At 36.0% G+C, this 21,668-nt stretch overlaps 1 protein-coding gene and 1 long non-coding RNA gene across 14 annotated transcripts in view, besides 1 other annotated feature; one reads left to right on the forward strand and one right to left on the reverse strand.

Moving 5' to 3' along the window:
• Positions 1–21,668, forward strand: part of LOC124902383 (uncharacterized) — a 121,044-nt gene that overhangs the window by 34,592 nt on the left and 64,784 nt on the right. The window lies entirely within an intron of this gene.
• MINDY3 (MINDY lysine 48 deubiquitinase 3) overlaps positions 5,826–21,668 on the reverse strand; it is an 82,334-nt gene continuing 66,491 nt past the window's right edge. For 7 of the 11 annotated variants that reach the window (XM_005252600.3, NM_001318330.2, XM_006717508.3 and 4 more), the window contains 4 exons: positions 16,899–16,971; positions 14,213–14,300; positions 9,807–9,878; positions 5,826–6,793 (listed from right to left, as the gene is read on the reverse strand). In XM_005252600.3, the coding sequence (XP_005252657.1) occupies positions 6,644–6,793; positions 9,807–9,878; positions 14,213–14,300; positions 16,899–16,971 (383 nt within the window). In that variant the 3' untranslated portion in view covers positions 5,826–6,643. The other 4 variants (XM_017016671.2, XM_011519690.3, XM_011519691.3 and 1 more) reach the window with 3 other exon arrangements.
• Positions 11,688–11,888: a silencer, noted in NCBI's record as "peak878 fragment used in MPRA reporter construct". NCBI's record gives its function as "represses an SCP1 promoter by STARR-seq MPRAs in K562 erythroleukemia cells {active_cell/tissue: K562}" and the evidence as "EXISTENCE:reporter gene assay evidence [ECO:0000049][PMID:32103011]".

The raw sequence follows: 21,668 nt of genomic DNA on the forward strand, positions 1-21,668 counted from the left end.
AGCTCCCTTCTAGTCTAAGTTTACTGAGATTTTAAAAAATCATAAGTTTTATTTATTTTTATTTTTAATTTTATTATTATACTCTGTTTTAGGGTACATGTGCACAATGTGCAGGTTAGTTACATATGTATACATGTGCCATGCTGGTGTGCTGCACCCATTAACTCGTCATTTAGCATTAGGTATATCTCCTCATGCTATCCCTTCCCCCTCCCCCCACCCCACAACAGTCCCCAGAGTGTGATGTTCCCCTTCCTGTATCCCTGTGTTCTCATTGTTCAATTCCCACCTATGAGTGAGAATATGCAGTGTTTGGTTTTTTGTTCTTGTGATAGTTTACTGAGAATGATGATTTCCAATTTCATCCATGTCCCTACAAAGGACATGAACTCATCATTTTTTATGGCTGCATAGTATTCCATGGTGTATATGTGCCACATTTTCTTAATCCAGTCTATCATTGTTGGACATTTGGGTTGGTTCTAAGTCTTTGCTATTGTGAATAGTGCCACAATAAACACACGTGTGCATGTGTCTTTATAGCAGCATGATTTATGGTCCTTTGGGTATTTTAGATCAACATCCTTGATGAACATTGATGCAAAAATCCTCAATAAAATACTGGCAAAACGAATCCAGCAGCACATCAAAAAGCTTATCCACCATGATCAAGTGGGCTTCATCCCTGGGATGCAAGGCTGGTTCAATATACGCAAATCAATAAATGTAATCCAGCATATAAACAGAACCAAAGACAAAAACCCACATGATTATCTCAATAGATGCAGAAAAGGCCTTTGACAAAATTCAACAACCCTTCATGCTAAAAACTCTCAATAAATTAGGTATTGATGGGACGTATCTCAAAATAATCAGAGCTATCTATGACAAACCCACAGCCAATATCATACTGAATGGGCAAAAACGGGAAGCATTCCCTTTGAAAACTGGCACAAGACAGGGATGCCCTCTCTCACCACTCCTATTCAACATAGTATTGGAAGTTCTGGCCAGGGCAATTAGGCAGGAGAAGGAAATAAAGGGTATTCAATTAGGAAAAGAGGAAGTCAAATTGTCCCTGTTTGCAGATGACATGATTGTATAGCTAGAAAACCCCATTGTCTCAGCCCCAAATCTCCTTAAGCTGATAAGCAACTTCAGCAAAGTCTCAGGATACAAAATCAGTGTACAAAAATCACAAGCATTATACACCAATAACAGACAAACAGAGAGCCAAATCATGAGTGAACTCCCATTCACAATTGCTTCAAAGAGAATAAAATACCTAGGAATCCAACTTACAAGGGATGTGAAGGACCTCTTCAAGGAGAACTACAAACCACTGCTCAATGAAATAAAAGAGGATACAAACAAATGGAAGAACATTCCATGCTCATGGGTAGGAAGAATCAATATGGTGAAAATGGCCATACTGCCCAAGGTAATTAATAGATTCAATGCCATCCCTATCAAGCTACAAATGATTTTCTTCACAGAATTGGAAAAAACTGCTTTAAAGTTCATATGGAACCAAAAAAGAGCCCGCATCGCCAAGTCAATCCTAAGCCAAAAGAATAAAGCTGGAGGCATCACGCTACCTGACTTCAAACTATACTACAAGGCTACAGTAACCAAAACAGCATGGTACTGGTACCAAAACAGAGATATAGATCAATGGAACAGAACAGAGCCCTCAGAAATAACGCCGCATATCTACAACTATCTGATCTTTGACAAACCTGAGAAAAATAAGCAATGGGGAAAGGATTCCCTATTTAATAAATGGTGCTGGGAAAAGTGGCTAGCCATATGTAGAAAGCTGAAACTGGATCCCTTCCTTACACCTTATACAAAAATTAATTTAAGATGGATTAAAGACTTAAACATTAGACCTAAAACCGTAAAAACCCTAGAAGAAAACCTAGGCATTACCATTCAGGACATAGGCATGGGCAAGGACTTCATGTCTAAAACACCAAAAGCAATGGCAACAAAAGCCAAAATGGACAAATGGGATCTAATTAAACTAAAGAGCTTCTGCACAGCAAAAGAAACTACCATCAGAGTGAACAGGCAACCTACAAAATGGGAGAAAATTTTTGCAACCTACTCATCTGATAAAGGGCTAATATCCAGAATCTACAATGAACTCAAACAAATTTATAAGAAAAAAACAACCCCATCAAAAAGTGGGTGAAGGACATGAGCCGACACTTCTCAAAAGAAGACATTTATGCAGCCAAAAAAACACATGAAAAAATGCTCTCCATCACTGGCCATCAGAGAAATGCAAATCAAAACCACAATGAGATACCATCTCACACGAGTTAGAATGGCAATCATTAAAAAGTCAGGAAACAACAGGTGCTGGAGAGGATGTGGAGAAATAGGAATACTTTTACACTGTTGGTGGGACTGTAAAGTAGTTCAACCATTGAAGTCAGTGTGGCGATTCCTCAGGGATCTAGAACTAGAAATACCATTTGACCCAGCCATCCCATTACTGGGTAAAAATCGTAAGTTTTAAATTATATATCAAATGCTTTTTCTGCCATGTTGAATCATGACTTTTCTCCTTCTGTTAATGTGAAAAATGCTTATTCTTAATATTAAACCAACTTATCGCTCTGCCAAAATCCCCACTTAGTCATGATGTGTTATATACACACACATACATGTATACATACTTTATTGATGTTTCTTATTTGTATAGGATTTTTGTTCCCATTATCATGGGAAATACTTGTCTATAATTTTTCTTTCTTTTAATGTCTTTAAAGTATGATATCAGGGTCACTGGATTCATAACAGGAATTCTGAAGTTATTCCTTCTATTTCCTGGAAGCATTTAAAATTGCTATTATTTTTTCTTTAAGTGTTTGAAAGCATTTGCTAGTGAAGCCATCCAGGCCAGGGAGTTTTCTTTAAGGAAAGTTTTTGAATTATTGATTAAATTTCTTTAAGACATACAGAATTTCTTGTGTCAGTTCTGCTTCTGCTGTTGTGTTTTTCAAATTGTCTGTTTGATCTAAATTTTTAAGTTTAATTTAGCATAAAATAGCTCACAATCTCCTCCAATTATTTTAATATCCAGATAATGTTTCCCGTTTTGTTCCTGATGCTAATGCTCTCATTTTTTCTTGATCAATCTTGTTAGATTTATCAATTTTATTGATTTTTTCCAGAGGCTTAAATTTTGGATTTGCTGAGTTTTTTCCATTATATATCTATTTTCTATTTCATTGGTTTCCCCGTTTATCTTTTATTCTCACAATTAAGTGGTTTTTTAATATATTCAGAGTTGTACAACCCTCACTGTAATCTAATTTTAGAACATTGCATCACCCCAAAAAGAAATTCCATTCACATTAGCAGTCACTCCTCAATCCTGTTAACCTACTCTGTCCCCCCTCCAGCTCCTGGTGCCTGAAATCCACTATGTTTGCCTATTCTGGACAGTCACATGAATGGAATCAGGCATACAGCCTTTGTGACTGGCTTCTTCCATGTAGCATAATGTTTTCAAGGGTCTTCTACATTGTAGTCTGTGTCAGTAATTCATCCTTTTAAAATGCCAAATAAGGTTCCATTGTATATATATATGGATGTTCTTTGACTTACTATGGGGTCATGTCCTGATAAATCCATCATTAGTCAAAAACATCGTAAGTCAAAAATGCATTTAATACCCTGATAAACCCATTGTAAGAGTTGAAAAATTGCTAAGTTGAATAATTGTTAAGTCGGAGACCATCTATACTATATTTGTTTATCCCTCTATTAGCTGATCAACAGGTTGTTTCCACTTTGTGGTTATTATGAAATAATACAGGTATGAACATTCACAAAAAGTTTCATGTGAATATGTTTTCATCATTTCTTTTGGTGATATACCTGGGAGTTGGGATTAGTGAGGCATGTGCCATCTCTGTATTTTTTTGAGCAGCTACAATACTCTTATCTGACGTGTCTTCACCATTTTACATCCTCACCAGCAATGTATGAGGGTTCCAATTTCTCCCCATCTTCACCAACACTTGCTTTTGCAGATCTTTTTTATTTTAGCCATCCTAATGACTATGATGTGATATCTTATGGTTTTCACTGGTATTTTTCTAAGGATCAATTGGTGTTTCTCTAAGGACCAATCTTCTTTGGGGGAAATGTCTCTTCAAATCATTTGTCCATTTAAAAGTTTTTGTTGTTGTTGTTATCAGTTTTTTATATATACTGTATTCAAATCCCTTAATATAATTTGCAAATATTTTCCCCACTCTATGGGTTGTCATGTCACTTTGAGGGTGTCCTTTGACACACACAAGTTTTTAATTTTAAGTCCAATTTATCTTTGTTGTCATTTGTGTTTTGTATCTTATCTAAGAAACCATTGCCTAACCCAAGATCATGATCAACTCCTTTGTTTTCTTCTAGGGATTTTATAGTTTCAGCTTTTATAATTAGATATATAATCAATCATTTTAAGTTACTTTTTGCAAATGGTGTGAGGTAGGGATCCAAATTCATTCTTTTGTATATGGATATTCTTTTAGGATTTACTTCCTCTTATTTTGGGTTTGTTATTGAGATAAAAGCTTAGGTTCCCAATTTTCAAATGTTTTACTTTTCTAATATATCATATTTAATGCTATATATTTCCTTTATTTTTGCTATGTCATATTTTCATTAACACTCAGTAGAAAGTATGTTCTAATTCCCATTGCAATTTCTCTTTGACCCTTTGGTAATTCATTAGTGTGTCACTTAATTTCCAATCTTTTGAGATTTTCTAGACTTACTTTATTGCCAGCATATAATCTAGTTTGGTAAGCAGCCCAAGTGCATGTGGAAAGGAAATGTTCCCATGGCTATTTAAATGTAGTGTTCTACAGCAATGATATCAAGCTAAGGTCCAGTCATGCTTGCCACGTGAGTAGAGACAGCTTCAGAAAATTCTAGCCCCTGGCTGCTGACTGAAGCAGACAAGCCATGCATCCCCACCTTGCCCCGTTTAGATTCCTGAGCAAAGAATTTGTACATTTAATCAAATGGTTGTTTTATGCCATGAAGTTTTGGGATGATTTGTTGTGTAACAATGGTAAGAGGACCATTCTATTTCATAGGCTTGATGTTTATGAGACAATCTACGATTTTGTGTAATCCTTTTGGAATTTGGGATTATTAAACCAGAGTTTTGAGAAACTAATTCTAGCATTATATATTTTATACAGATTTGGAAGTAGCCTAGACCAAAATATTGACATTTGAAAGCTGTAAGTTTAATAAGTAGTATCATACTCCTGAACAGAATGTCACCAAAAGTTATACACAAAATCTCATGCCTTTCCCTATGCTTAATTATATTGTAATTGTGTGTGTGTACGAAAGAAAACAAAACCCAAACAGAAATTCACACAGGAACTATACTATTGAAGGTAATGTTCAGTTCTGAAATGTGTAAGAGGATACTACATAATTATCTGCTTTACACGTGGCTTTACACGTGGAGGAAAAAAAGTATTAATGGCTATGTGATTTTAAATTGCTGGGCCACAAACCTATCAGAATACAGCAGATCTCTCTCTCAAGTAAACGGGCTTCTGCATCTTTGCTCACTGGTCTAGAAAGCTGCCATGTGGGTTCTCATGCTTCTGGCTGGCTGAGTTAGCAGAGCTCTTAGGTTAGCATAAGGCCTGGTCTCTTATTCGAGGTCCTGTATGACTTAGCCATTTGTAGTACTCTGTGCTCTCAGGGTTATTGGGTAGAAACATTTAGAAGTACGTATTTGTTTATTTTGAGCCACCAATGTAAAAAATGCAAGGGTACAGTTAAAGAAAAAGGTGTTTATTTAGGCCATCAACTAGGATCATAATAAATAACGTAATATACTAATGTAATAACAGATCTTCTCATGCATTTATCGTGTTTATAAATATAGAAGAAAGCTGGCTTACAGGGCTGTTGGGACAAATTTGGAAAAGTGTATTTGGCAATTACACAGTAAAAGTTAACAGTGTTGACTATCAGATTCTCTTTTCTGTCAGTTTTTAGAATACATCCCCTATACATCTGTGAATAAATGGTAATGGTCTCTTAGAGTTTCTACTTTTTGTGAACATGCCAGAGTTAAGTAAATTGTCAAAGGATCCAGGTTGACAATGTGTTATTTGTCAATATTTCTAATGAAAAACAGATCTTAGAAAAATGAACTCTTCTGCATTTCATTGTAGAGGCTGATATATTACAAGCCGGAATCATTCAAACAATAAAAAAAGTGCCTCAATGAAATAAAACCCAAAAGTAGTTTATCAATAGTAACTGTGATACTTAATATACAAATGCTGTAGTATTGCGTTTGTAATTTGGTAAGTAAATGACCAAGTATCTGAATGCAAAAGTGATGAACTTTGATGAAAGCTTAATTTTGCTAGTAAATTTCACACGAAGGGGTAAAATAGGATAATCTTTAACATAAAGCTTTAGGACAAATAATTTAAACATATCATAAACACTGAAAATGTGTTTTTAATTGTTATTTACAGTTAATCAGTGATACCAGTGTTTAGCTTAATCCAGCCAATTGCCAGTCTTGACTCCTTCTTTCAACATCTGTTATTAAGATCTTCCTTATAAATACTTAGACAAATTAATTTAGTGAAGGAGAGCGATCTGTGGTCCAGAGTAACTCAATGTATGGCCATTTGGTTTGCAGACAGCGTTTAATAGGAGTGTCATCTGTCTGTAGCATGGGATCTTCAAAACCCATCACAACTGCAGTCCCTTCTACGTACATGACCTGTTGAACAAAATAAAGCCACCAAGGTCAAGCAACAGTCTTAGCAAATTCTTATGTGGAATGAAAACAATTTTTAGAGGCTAGCAAATAAGGTATTACATAGTTTCAGATGAAACTTGACATGTAATTTTATTTTGCTAGAAATGAGAAGGAATATCTGCTTACTGATTAATGTGAAAGTAAATTTGTAAACGATATTTAATTGCTAGCTGGCCAGGTGATTTTTAAAAAATTCAAGATCATGTGAATCCTAAAACACATAGATTGTTTCTAAGAAAAAAAACATTCTTCAACGGATCTATACCATCGGAAAGAAATGCTTAATTATCATATTTACATATAATTTATACAGGTCCTACTGCTTTAATACTGAGGTTCTCAGATGCTCATGCTGCCTAATGAAACGGAGAGCTATAAAAGGAATATAGCTATTATGTTCTGAGGAACATGTGTCTCCTTCTAATTTAAGTATTGAATTTCTAGAGCTGAAACCAATTTGAATGTTTGTCAACAAAACTTGCTATTATGGTATTAAATATTCCTGAAATGCAATTCATGAGTGCATTCTGTACAGCATGAAAAATCATGGAGAAAAAAATTAAAAAGGATGTCAGGACAGAAAGAAAAGTAAAAGAGACGTTGAAAGATCAAACTAACCAGATACTGTATATGCAGTGGCAGTGATCACAGAAATATATACTGGCAGGTGAATAGCAAGAAAAATTTTATTCTGATTAATTTACAATGAAACATACTTAAAAAGTATTTTGGACATATCAACAAAAACCCTAACTCATTACCAAGGGCTCACTGTGGACATTAAGGCACTCCTTGGTGGTTAATTTCTTTTTTGTACCAAGAGAAATTCTGATGCTGTATAATTTAAAAGAAACAGATACAGACGACTGTCTTCTTCCAAAGTGTATAAAATTATTTTTACACATTCACTGGCTGATACACATGAGTGTAATTATGTTCTTCCAAAATAAAAGCCATAAGCTATTTAAGGAGCCAAAAGAAACAACTTTATTATCCTTAAATGGTAGTTGCCTCTAAAACACATTAAATATAGGAATAGAATATATTACTAGATCAGATAATCTTGTGTCATGAATCTACTCATTCCTAAGAAAGTGCTAAAGATACATTGTAACGTGAAATACATTTTTTGGCATCTTTATTTTAGTTAATATATTAGTTTCTAGTGTTGATGAAATAAATTGACATTGAAACTACAACTCGGGCTTTTCAGTCCCCAAAGCAAAACTGCCTTCTCTGAAAAGTTATACACAAAGAATATAATTCAAGTTATTAAGTTAAATACAATCGGCCCTATTTTTCACAAAGAACTTCATGTACTCATGTCATTAGAGCAGAAGTGCTTGGGCAAGGTGCCATGACCCACCTCCATGGCCTCAATCAGGCTCGGATGCCTGGCGGCTCAGACTCCATCTCACTTTGCCAGCATTCTCCTTTTGTCTGTTTCCTTTCTAACAGGACCTTGCTATGCAGCTTATAATTTTAGCTCCTGATTAACTTCAAAACATATTTCTGTGACTTAATGACATCCATACTTTGCTTTATAGCTGCTGTATATTACTGTCATTTTAACAGTTCATCCTATTTGTTTTCTAATCTTTTTGTTGGTGTGTCAGAAGCTTGTCACAAACATGATTTGAAAACTTATACTACATACAGGTAGAGTGGCCAAGCAGACCAAGGACAGGATTGGGAATCAGGAACTCAGTTCCAATCCCTGTTCTGCCAATGACTTGCTGTGTGACCCTGGGTGAGTCACTTGATCTCCCCGTCTCAGATGCCTCATCTGTAAAATATGGATAATATTTGACCTATCTTGCAGGGATTGTGTAGGTGAATAATTAGTGATTATAAAGTACCTCCTATTACAAAGCTGTGCAAACATCAAACTCTAGATGAAGCACTCATTCGCACATTAGAAAACAACATCCAAGTTTGCATATATATATACATGCAAAGAATATACATTGTCAAGAAAATTTGGATGCTGTATATATATATCTTTGGACCTGACAAAAACATCTAATTTATATTTTGTTATAAAGATAGCAGTAAATTTTAGTCTTTTAGATTTGGTCTAATTAAAATTATGTACTTAATTTACACTGTTTTCTGTAACCTTCCACAATTTAGATACATGAAGTCAGCATGGGCAGATCAAATTAAAAAGGAATGTTAGACCTTATTCCTTTAATATTAGCTATAACTAATACATATATATTATATATATATATATATACTATAACTAGTATGTACTGTAACTCATACTTGAATAAATGCAAAGATAATAGACACACAAAAAGGGGAAATCAATGCAGCCGAACTCTAGCTTTACGCCAGGTTGAGTACACCTGGCAGTGAATCACCTATGTGCTTTGTCAACGGTTAGCAAAGGAAAGCTGCAAAGCATCATGGGTAGGAGCATGGTCTCTGAGCTGGACTAAGTTTCACTCCCAGCTCTGTCATTTCCTGGCTGCTTGACCTGTAAAATGGAGATATACAGACAACACTTCCTTCATAAGGTGCTGTGAAACTTAAGCAAAGTACTTAATACAATTTCGGGTAAATGCTCAATATATGCTGACTATGAAGGTTATTTATTTAAAAATATTTTTTCCAGTAAAAAGTCTCACTGTTACCTCTTTCTTCCTTTAAATGGATAAGTAACAACTTTCACTGGACTAACTACGATGTTGATTTAGAAACACGCTACACTGCCAAGGGTAACGATCTGTATGGGGGTGTATTTAGTCATGGTGAAACTACTGCTCTGAAGTCCAATGTCAGTTTCCAATGCAGACTAACATATACTGGTCAAATCCAAAGATGGCTGATTCTAAAATGTGTCCTCATAGTAAAGAGACTCCTGGAATAATCTTAGGTAGCAATTGTACGGGAATCGAACATTGTTACATACTCACATAATTATTTCATCAACCCAGTTGAACACCGACGACTACGTGAATTATCATACCTTTTCATTATAATTTGACTGCTTCAATCCATTGTAGTGGTAGACAGTAAAAGATTCTGGACCACTGGAGCCCTATTATAAATAAAGGACTATTAACACTTTAAATTATATTTATATCAGGCAATTTCTAATCAACTGAAAGTAAAATGCATGTTTCTCAAATCCTTATCCTTTGACTGGGGACTCATTTGACAAAAGAAGGAACTTAGGTTTATGGAGTTGTAACTACCAGAAAGCCCTGAAGTTGAAAGTGTTGCCTCTGAAGAAGATGCTGGAAAGTAGGGAAGGTTGATTTCCATTATAAGCTCTTCAGAACTAACTTATTTTTTTTTTAATTATGTGCATGTATCACTATAACTTTTTTCAAAAGACAAGCTTCTAAAACATTTGCTAAAGTATATCTCCTTTTCTATGTAAATAATTTGTTCCTCTCAATGAATTGAGAAAAGCAGTAGCATCACTTTTACTCAGACTAAATACACTTCCAGTATGTACCAATACTTCCAATTTGGCCCACGATGTTTAATTAGTGGTTTCTTTTCCAAAAAATATCCAATATTTGAATATTGTCAACCATTAATTAGTGAAAAGAGCACTGTGAGAAATGAAAACATACTTATAATGCTTAAGGCGATTTCAGTAATATTCAATAAAGAAAGGATATCCTATATATCACTAACAGAGTAAGCTTGTAGAAAAATGGGTCATGTTATTCCCACTATCTTAACCTTGCTTTTCAATTAGCTAAAGATCACGTTCAACCCTCTTAACCTGGCGTTCAAGGCCATTACAGGCCTGGCTCCCAGTGATTTCCCTCAGGGCCCCTGGCTGAGTCTGCCTGGATAGATCCCCCTTGTCTTCCTGGCCATATCCGATGGATACAAACAGGCACATGGCCCTCCTTAGAATTTTTTCCAACTGGAATTAAGGGAAGACAGCTGCTGGCAACTGGAGCTTCAGCTCCTACAGAAAGATAGGCTGTGAGAATGTAGCCACTTTAGAGACAGGGGATGGGAGGTGGAGACCTCCCAGTGCTGTTCAAGGACTCCAGGAGCACTTTCCCGGTGCTTGCTTCTTCAATTCACCTGAGCTACTCCTTCCCCTTCATGTATTTTCCCCCTCACTTATGCCAATTTAGGCTGAGGTTCTGTGACCTGCAATCATGAGTCTTAAAATCATACAGGGCTTAATCTACCTTTTTAGTCTTATCTCCAACTACTCACCTTTCTGAATTCTGTTTTGGACAAGCATGACTCATTTCATCATGAAAAGATCTTTTGTTGGCCTTTTGCACATTCATGATTTTTTTTTACTCTTCTCTAAAATGCCCTCCTCTCCTTCCTTTTTCCAGACCTGGTTTAAATCTTACTTTTTCTGTAAAGTTTTTCCTGGACACACTAGTTAGTTTTTTACTACACTGGAACTTAACCTTTATCATAACAATTGTCTAAATAATTTGAGAAGGAATCATATAGTACTACTTTGTATCATCTCTTCTATTATTTTGAAAGACTGTTTAATTTTTCATGTCTTACATTCCCAACTAAAGCCTAAAATTGTTTTGTATCCCACTCAAAATGCCTTACAGAAAATAGAAAAATCAATTTGATCGTTTCCTTAATTACAGGAGTCATTGCAATTAGTTACATAATTTGACTCTTGGCTATCAGAGTTAAATTATTTGAACTTAAATAACCATTTTCCTGTAACTGAATATAATTTATATTCCCTATTTCCAGTAATTAACTGGCATAAAATACAGAAATACCAACAAAAAGTAGTGTAGCCCACTGGTAAAGTGCATAGACTCTGTGGTTAGACAGACTATATTGGATTTCTGAATCAGCTACTAAAATACCTAGTGTATGACCTTAAACAATTGTCTTAAGTTCTCTAATCTTCAATTTCCTCATTGTCAAAAAATTCCTGAATCAGCTACTAAGATACCTAGTGTATGACCTTCAACAATCGTCTTAAGTTCTCTAATCCTCAATTTCCTCATTGTCAAAATGGGGAAGATAATAGTATGGTGTTTGGAAGGCACACAGTGCCTGATGGAGAGTATGTGCTTGGGAAAGGGGAGCTGCTTCTGCTATTCTTATTTAAACGAATGGTCTTGAAAAGCTTATAAATATTACCACTTTTTTCTTCCTGCATCAGCCTCTACATCATAGCAAATAAGTGTTCTTCCACAGGACCTACTTGAAGCATTGTAAAGATTACCGAAGTTAAATATTTTCCTGGCTGTCCTTGTCACTCCAGTTTTGCAACTTCATTTATTTGTGGCTGATTAAATAAATGTTTACTGGGCCTCGTGAGGTGGCTCATACCTGTAATCCCAGCACTTTGGAAGGCCAGGACGGGTGGAACACCTGAGGTTAGGAGTTTGAGACCAGCCTGACCAACAAGGTGAAACCCCATCTCTACTAAGGATACAAAAATTAGCCAGGCCACCATATGTAGTCCCAGCTACACAGGAGGCTGAGGCAGGAGAATTGCTTGGACCAGGGAGGCGGAGGTTACAGTGAGCTGAGATCGTGCCACTGCACTCCAGCCTGGGTAAAGGAGCGAAACTCCATCTTAAATAAATAAATAGTTTACGGAATGATCACTATATTCATCTGTTAGGGACAAGGCAGTATGTGACTAATTGCCAAAAGGAGTGTTGAGTCACTATGCATTTTGTGGCTACAGGGGAAAGGGGACATCAGTGGTATGTAGGGCATGATCGGAAAAGATCTATGACACCGAGGGCGTCTGAGCTGCTATAGGATGGGAACAGATGGGAATAGGTGGGACTGTGACAGGTCTTCCTCTAAAGCAGCTGTTCTCTAACTTGGGCCTCCAGATCACTTGCAGGGCTTGTTAGACCACATTGCTGCACCCACCCTTAAAGTCTCTGCTTCAGGGAGAAACCTGAGAATTAGCATTTCTAACAAGCTCTTGGAGATCATACTGAGAACTCACTGCTCTAAAGGTAACCAAGAGCAGGATCACATGCTCGTGGGAGGCAAACAGCATGAACTATACAGACAATGAGACAAACCAGGCCCAGGTGGAGAGTGTCTTCAGAATAGCAGGCAACAAGTAAACAGTGAGAGAGGAACACAGAGGCAACAAACAGTACAACCAAATGGAAATGTCTGTTACAGGCGAAAGAGAAGGGACTAGAACCCTCTTTTTACCTAAAAAATTACTACAAGTAACTGTCTCACTTTACATTTCTCACTTTTCAAAATCTTCCCCAAATTAAATTAAAAACAGGAATATTCTTTTTATTATAACTAAGAATCAACATTTCTATCAAAAGTTCCGATAGCAGCCTTGAAATATAATTAAAATTAATACTGTCTCAAAGTTTAAGATGGTATAATGTATTATTAATCCAGATATCCAGTCAGAATGTGAACAAAGAGGATATCACACTGAAGGGTCTAATGTCGGACAATAAAATCTAATTTTTCATGAAGGCTTTAAGACCAAAGTTTTAAGAAGTCCAGTAGTCTACATTGTCTACATTGTGATATCCTCAGTTACTTTTTGAATCTTACCTCTTTCTTAACAATTTTATCTTGAGTTTAACAATCTTTTTTAACAATTACATTCTGAATTTTAGTAATTATATTTTGAAATTTTCCCTCTTGCTTTTAAATTTTTTCTATTTGTCAATATGTCTCTCTAATAATAGCGGTAAAATAGAAATTGGAATGTCTATTGCAACAATGAACTTCAGTGCAAACTATACTGATATCTGATAAAATGACCATGATATCTGTTATCTAGTTAAGTAATTTGATTTAGTGGTAAAATGCTTCACTTAGAGAACAAAGACAGAAAGATGGGTATTGGATATAGAACTGGCTTGCCAATGATGCAGATACAACTCAAAAACATTCAGGTTGGCCCAGATGCCTCTGCTATTCCAGGTAACTGAGCTCCTATCAAAGCCCAGTGGAAGACATGTCCCAATGGGAAACGGCCCAGACCCACTTAGGTTTTAATTCTCCAGGAGCTTAGCTTCACTAGCTAGGGGCTTCTACTACCCACAGCCACCTTGACCTCTTCTCACAGTATTTAACAGCTTCCTGAGAGAAGAAAAGTGGGGGTGGGAGTGGAGAAAGAGAATCTTTCTCTTTTTACTCCTCAAACTTCCGAACTGTTCTCTCCGTATCATTATGTGTATAGACTGGTGTCTGCGTCATCTTCTGCTGCCCTCCCCATCAAGGCACTGCGTTACCGTATTCGAACACACATTCCCTCTGTCTGGGAAGGTTTCCATGTAACGGTGTTTTCTCAGTCTCATATCTGCGCATTAGGACATTGTACAGAAAGAGAAAATGCTGCAAACAATCACAGGTAATCATCCCAACAGAATAACAATGAATATATTTCCTCAACTATGTTACCTGATCAGGAAAAAATTCTTGAAGAAATGGGCCCAATAATATGATTCCTAATCCTTCTGGATCTAATTTATTCTTCATGAGATTTATACTACGGGGAGAAAGAAGAAAAACAGTGGATACCAGAGGAAAAAAAAAAGCTGCTTTTCTTTCATGATTAAATTACTGGTACTACAACACATTCGGCTGCCAAAAACACTAAGAGCTGTTCTTTTTAGAACCTTAATGACAAATACACAGGAATGACATCTAATTTGCCAAACTTGGTTATTTTTAAACTAGAGTAATCTGTTACTATTTAAAATTTAAATTGTGATGACTTTGGAATATTGTTCCTTATTAGGTAAAGTAATTTAAAAACCAAGGTTTATAAACTCAAGCTTGTAACTTCCCAAAGGCAAATTCTCTTTGCTTCATAGGTATGCCTGAATTTAACAAATGAGGCATTTAACTAACAAAATGTTTTTCTTTTTCTCCTTGGGCTTAAAATACAGGGTCAAAAGGCAGTGGTACATCAGATAATAGAAAACATCTCTTAAAAAGCTTACTTTTAAAAACTAAATGAGATAGCAGCTTAAAATTCATAGACAATGTAATTTGAAGGTTAAAGAGCTACATTAATTCTCAAAGAGCTAATGCGTCATGAATGACAGTGACTGATATATACTGTATTGGTCCAGCAGCAGCCTAAAGTGCATACCAGCCCTTACAATGCAGGTGTACCAAGGCTGGTGACAGGTGGTGTTATGTGTGACTAGAAAGAAGGAAGAAGAAGGCAGAAGAAGGCAGACTGCAGTTTAATGGGTTTAAAAATGAAAATAGTCTTCAGAAAAGTTTTATTTTCCTTGCTATCTCAAACTATAAAGGCCAAGTTAAATCTACCTTACTACACAACATGCAAAGTGTTGTGTTTGGGGATTTCAGGTGGTTCTAGTCAACCACCTTCCTCAGGGGCAACTTCTCTCCTTTCAGTTTGCCTCTTCGGTCTGGGTCAGTTACCAGGTGTGCCTTTCACAAAAGGAGTTAAAGCTATTCTTGTGAGGGTAAGCTATGTTTTAAGGTTTATGAAAGCTGCATCTGCGCTGACATAGCCATCTCTCCCGGAAACACCTGGGTCAGGCTGCCTCACAGACCTCCTACCTGACGTCTAGTATTGGCCCTGTGAGATACTTTTGTGGGCCTGTGGCTATCATTCTTGTATAGTATACTGTACAAAGGATATGGCATTTTAATGAGTCTGAGTAAGGCCGGGAAGTTATGATGAAACAAATGAAGGCAGGGTCATTTGTGTTTAATTCATTTAATCCTTAGGATGGCCCAGTTATTTCATGGGCCATTCTGTATTACAGTTGTAAATAGGCCAAAGTAGAGTGAATACTTCAGTCCAATCTTTCAACTACTTCAAGAAAAACAACCTGATTGAATCAATTGTACTAACTTCATGATTCAAGGTACGTTTTCCATCTGATAAAACAAGGAAAATTAGGTAGATGATATATAGCTATGGAAGAATTTGGAAAAAAAAAAACTTTCTTCTTTCTCTTCCTTGTCTTAGGCTGGTCAGTAACAAAAATTACTTGAGTTAATTCTCTTTTGTAAATTAGAGCAGTGTAAACAACATGGTCTCTACTTGGAAATAAAGTTAGAAGAAGTATAGTAATTACTATCATACCATTTGTTGGACTAGTTCAACACTCTGAATTTCTCTTTAAATTGAAAACAATTATTCATTTATTAATATTTCTAACTATTGAGAATGGATGAAATCACAGCTCTGAGTAGTAAGCTTGAGACACATTAATTCAGATGTGGCTAGTTTATGTGTATTGCATACTTTCAAAGAAAGTATGACTGAACTCATCTAAAAACGGAACAAGACCAAATTCTAAAAACGGTGTCTACCAATGTTTCCTGTTGCTTTTGCTGAACTCTTTCATTATGTTTGATAAGCTCAAGTTTTTGCATTCTTAGAAAAACTTGCAGAAGGAAAAACTATGCTGAAAAAAGGAGTAAAGGTCCTATCTTAACTTTTATTCCCATATTTGATCAATACATGTATCCACTTAAGAAGAGTTATTTTTTCATGGATAATAACTAAAGATCTTAATCTACAGAGGAAGTTGTAGATGTAACAATGCATAAAACATAACAGTGAGAATGAAGACAATGACAGGATCCTAAGAAAATACTGAAAAACGATATGCCATAATATATTGCAGCCATCCCTAAAAGTTTCAGGTCAGTTAATTTAATCATTTAGAAATGTTAGATATCTTTGATCATCTTTATTTAAGAGGGAAAGTCAGAGGCCTGCTGGTTATTTAAGCAGGGCAACTAGCACCATCTACACAGAACCGTCATTACTTTACTGAAGATACTAATGTCACATAAAATTTTAAGACGTGGGGAAGTGTTTGCAGAGAAACTTTTTAAAGTTTATAGAAAGACACTTTTAGCATTTTTTAAAAAGCAGGACAGTAATTGCTGGGTGGGAAAGGAAACTCAATTTAAGTATGTCAAGTCTGCTATAATATTGGATTAGTTCGATTTCTTAATCTTTGCCTTACATAGATTGCTATGCTTCATATATGCAGATATAGATTTTTAAAAAGGCAAAAAATGTACAATATGTCTTAAACTTAATCGAATCTTTTTGAGTTGGCTAAATAACACTTCCTATTTAGCTTACTATTCAGGATCTGAAACAAGGTCCAATGCTTTCATCACATCTTCCAGAAGTGAATCGGGTATGAATCCATTATCTAGGGGGGAAAAAATCAGAAACAACTTGAAATAAGAATTTACTTCAAGAAATGCTATTAATGCTGATCAGGTTCCAGGAAAAAAAAATCGCATAAAAAATACAAAGAGTTAACATACTATTCCTTAAGTTTATTTTAGGCATAGTGCCTATTGCTATTAGAGACCCTCTTCTATTTGTTTTCTTGGAAACATCGGCAAATACTTAAAAATATTTTTTAACTTGAGAACTCCGACGAAAGCTTAAAGTCAAATTACTTGATCTTTAAACAGTGTTACAGCGTTAAGTGGGTAAAATATTTTTCTACTTAAAATCTTAGGTTTATCTTTCAATAAACAAAGTAAACCTTTACATTTGCATTTAACAATTCAATTAAAATAATTCTTTACCAACAAATTCCCTTTGTCACAATGTTATTTAGTTTCTTGAAGGAATGTCAGTGATCCACTGATACTTAGACAACTGACAGATTAACAGCAAAGGTATTCTAAAACAGACTTGGTGATTTAAATGAAAGCTGTAGGTTTAAAAAAAACAGCCCTGAAATGAAGAGTCAAACTAATGCTGATGATGACTACTTTATGGAAAATGGTCCAAACTCTGATGATGCAACAGACCATGACACACACAAAGTCCTTGTGGGGTAGTTTGAAATGAGAGTGGTTTTAAACAAAAGTTGTTTATTCCTTAAATGTACAGTGCCCAATTTTCCCTATCCATTTACTCATTCCTGAAGATTGTCTCAGCTTTAAATCAGCTTCCAATGTCCTTCAGGGATTAGATGATTAAAAAAAAAATCTTGCCATGGAGAACAAGATGTCCAAAAGCCCTGCTCCTATAATCAAACTACAGAATAAAGTGTGCAGTTGCTCTTTCAGGGTGTGGAATTGTACACTATCTCTATCAGAAAGGAATGAAGTTATGATTGTAGAAAGGTCTTTTCTATTCTTAAACCTCTTTTCTATTCTTAAACCTCATAAGGAGCTGTTTACCCATTTGAAGACAGATTGGCCTTGACTAAAAGGTTATGAGTCATCTAGAATAATTAAAAATGTGCAATTTTTTAAGTGAAGGGTTTAGAGTAATTCCAGTTTGTTAAGTTACCAATAATTTGAGGTACTGAGAATAAAGACGACCTTGGTTGAAGGCACTTGTGAAAACATTCAAGCTCTGGCTCTGTGGGCTTAGCTTTGATGAGTCTGATCACTGATTTTGCTTAAGTTAAGTCATAGCTAAAGGCTCAGCGTCTCCGAATGTGAAACAGGCTTTATGTGGCCACCAACAGACAGGAACAATTAGGTTTCTGTGTTTATAGGCTATATCCATTTGATATTACAGGTGGAGTCTCCCTCATCCAAAATGCCTGGGTCTAGAAATGTTTTAGATTTCAAATTTTTTCTGGTTTATGAATATTTGCAAATATATAATGGCTGAACATCCCTGATCTGGTCCAAAATCTGAAATGCTCCACGGTGTCATATTGGCACTCAAAATTTTGGAGGATCAACCTTTCGGGTGAGGGATGCTCAGTCTGTACACCGTTTTTCAGGAGCACTGACAGCATGTACTTTGTCATGGCTGGCAGCCTTTCCGCAGAAACCATAACCTGCAACTCAGTTCCCACCCCAACCAAGAGCTAATTGGCAAATGACAACAAAAACAACAATGTGACCTTCTTAACAACATGCTTATATATGATTAACCTCAAGCTTAAACATTTTTAAGGTAGCTATGAGATTTACAACTCATAAGCACAGATATTCTGAAGTGTAACCATAACTGTACCCGGTCAGTAACTCTACATTTTGTACATTTAGTATTTTAAAACTAAAGATGTAATAGAATTTTCTCAATAATTCAAAACTTTTAATATACTCAAGATTAGAAGAGATTTCAAAATTATTTTCCTTTGTAGAAGACTTACTTTGACATGTTAACCATACCTACAAAAAATTCCTTAGAAAAAGGCCAGAATCATTAAGTGTAAAAACAGATGAAACCTAGGTCATCTGACATTTCACCAACTGACTCCCTAGAGAATAAGGAAACAGAGGCACAAAGATGAAAAGACAACCTCAAAGTCAACAGCAAAGGAAATCTCAGAGAATACCATTTGATTAGTCAAGCAGATCTATGAAGAACTAAAAGAAAAAAATAGAACTTGCATACACTGGTAAATTAACTACATAGATATCAACACAAAAGAATGGGGACTATGAGGCAGGGCAAGCAAAAGAGGGCAGAGCAGCCAGGATGGGAAACGGCTAGCATGTACATACTGTAATGCTGTTGGATTGTGGCTGAAAGGAGGAAAAAAGCTGTTGGTTTAAAATTTTAAAAGATTTTTACCAGTTGAATATCCAGATTGCTAAAAGTGTCAAGTCCTTAGAGATTGTGGGGAGGAATAACTCAATGCAAAGGAGCGCTGATGAAGGACAGTGAAAGTGAGGCATGTAATTTCCTGGATAAGATAACTATTTCATAACTGGGAGGAAACCTGAGTTGGGCTTTCAAAGGAAATATAAAACAATCAGGATTTCTGTCCTGAAAGATTAAGAAATAAACAGGAGAGCCTAGCAGGTCTCAATTTTAACAGAGATACTAGCTAAACTGGACACTGCAGGAAGAGAAGCCAAATGTTGGATACTCAAAACTAACAGAGAAGCTGGAAAAAGGTTTCTCAGAGTTGTGCAACAAACAGCTTATAAGGAAACTGTGAAGCCCACTGTACTTGAGACTAACATTTTCCATACACTGTGGGAGAGGGAGACTACAGTTTCTTGGGAATTAAAAAAAAAATAGAATTTAATAAAGCCTTAGTATTTATTAAATTGTAGGTCTATATTCCTATTGAAAAAGCAAGTGACCTTTTCCCCAAGGCCAAGTCACACACCAGAGCTGAGCTTTTCCAGACCTCTTTGGCATTACTTCTGGCTCCCCAGTGGGCAATGAGTTCTGGAGGGCAGGGAGTCCAGATCCCCAGGGCCTAGCACAGTGGTTGACTCATAGCTGCTCGTTAACATTTGTTACTTTTAATGATACAAGCTCATAAATAAGTAGCTCATTTATAGCTTGTACTGCAAATTCACTTTTATTATGGGATGGAAAAGGTACAAAATATGGTGGCACTATACAGAAAACTGTTAGCTGGGGATGCCTGACAGAAACAGTGCTAACAGTGACGGGAGGCCACAGCAAGGGCACAGGGAGGAGCATTTATTTAAAAGGAACAGAAAAGACAAGGCAATTCTAGAGAATGCCTAGGGAGTGGTGTATATTAAGCTCTACCTACAATAGTCCAATTATTCTTAAAGATTAAAAAAATGCAGTACACTGAAATCAGACAAAATATGGCTGTCAACATATTTTAGCAACTTAACAAAACAAACAGCTTCAGATTTAAAAGAAATGGTGTTGCTTCCTGACATATAATTGTACAAGGGGGAGGGGATAAAGGAGAAAGAAGAAAACAAAATTCATTATGTATAATGTGAAAACCTGTGATTAGCAGTTCAGACACTACCTATGTAGACCTTGATGTCTTTGGAGGTTATGGAATAAGCTCTGTGCCACACATTTTTTAAAAAAACAACACCATGGTTAATGTATTGAGTGCTGACTAATCATATAAAGTTACTCTTAAGTCCATTTTACAGATGAAAAACTGAGGTAGGAACTCGTCCAACATCACACAGCTAGTGAGGCGTAACGGATGGAGCCATTTTCCTGGTATCCAGAGGCACTAGAGAATTGTTGTTGTCCAGTATCTTTGATCATATTAATATATCTTTATCAATCATTTTACAATAATTCCTATAAAACATGTACCTGAATACGAAGCACATATCCAAACATTTTCTTCCACAAAAAAGACACACAAAAATAAACACTGTGGACTTTCTCCAAAGCTCATGTGGAACACTTTGAATAGACCTGATAACTGCTTCTCTTTAAGCTGAGTAAGTGTGCTAGTCTCCCCTTTCTGAATCTGAGATTAAACTGAGCCAATTATCTAGAGGTGATACATCAAGGTCCCACAGAAAGTACAATTTTGTTACTATTCAAATGAGAAATTAACAGTTAAAAACTATATTTTTGACCTTGTTTTATAAGTATGCTTGATATCAAAATAAGTACTGGGCTCCTAAGATCCTCAAGATTCTGAAATGGGCAGAAATTGCTCAACTAGAAGCGAGAATATCAAATCCTTACTCCATTAAATTAACAGTTCAAAGTAAACTTAAATTTAGAAAGGTTAAAAAGTACCTTTTTATGACTTTAGCCTTTCAAGAAAGATACTGGTAGTAGAGAGAAGGGGAAAGATTGCTGAAACACTTAAAATCTAGTCTTGGTTCTCACATTTAGGTATGTGGCTCTGGAGAAGTGACTCAAACCATCAAAAGGTTGTTCTCCAAAGAACAAAAACAAGGATGATGATCCCTGCCTATCTCCTAGGTTTGTGGCAAGGTTTTAATGAGGTCATGGAGGTAAAGTGCTTCAGAAATCGTAACATTCCACGCAAATGCCACACATCATTCTTAGATAGATCCCCAATTTCATACCAGGTTTATGCTCCAAACGATCAGTACTAAATCACTTGTTTACACTATGGAAGATGTGGTCTCATAGAGGCAATGCTATAAATGGTGACTGGCCTGTACACGCCTATTTAATTAGGAATATACCCACAGCACAGTG

Source organism: Homo sapiens, chromosome 10 (assembly GCF_000001405.40).
Source record: "Homo sapiens chromosome 10, GRCh38.p14 Primary Assembly".
Taxonomy (NCBI): domain Eukaryota; kingdom Metazoa; phylum Chordata; class Mammalia; order Primates; family Hominidae; genus Homo; species Homo sapiens.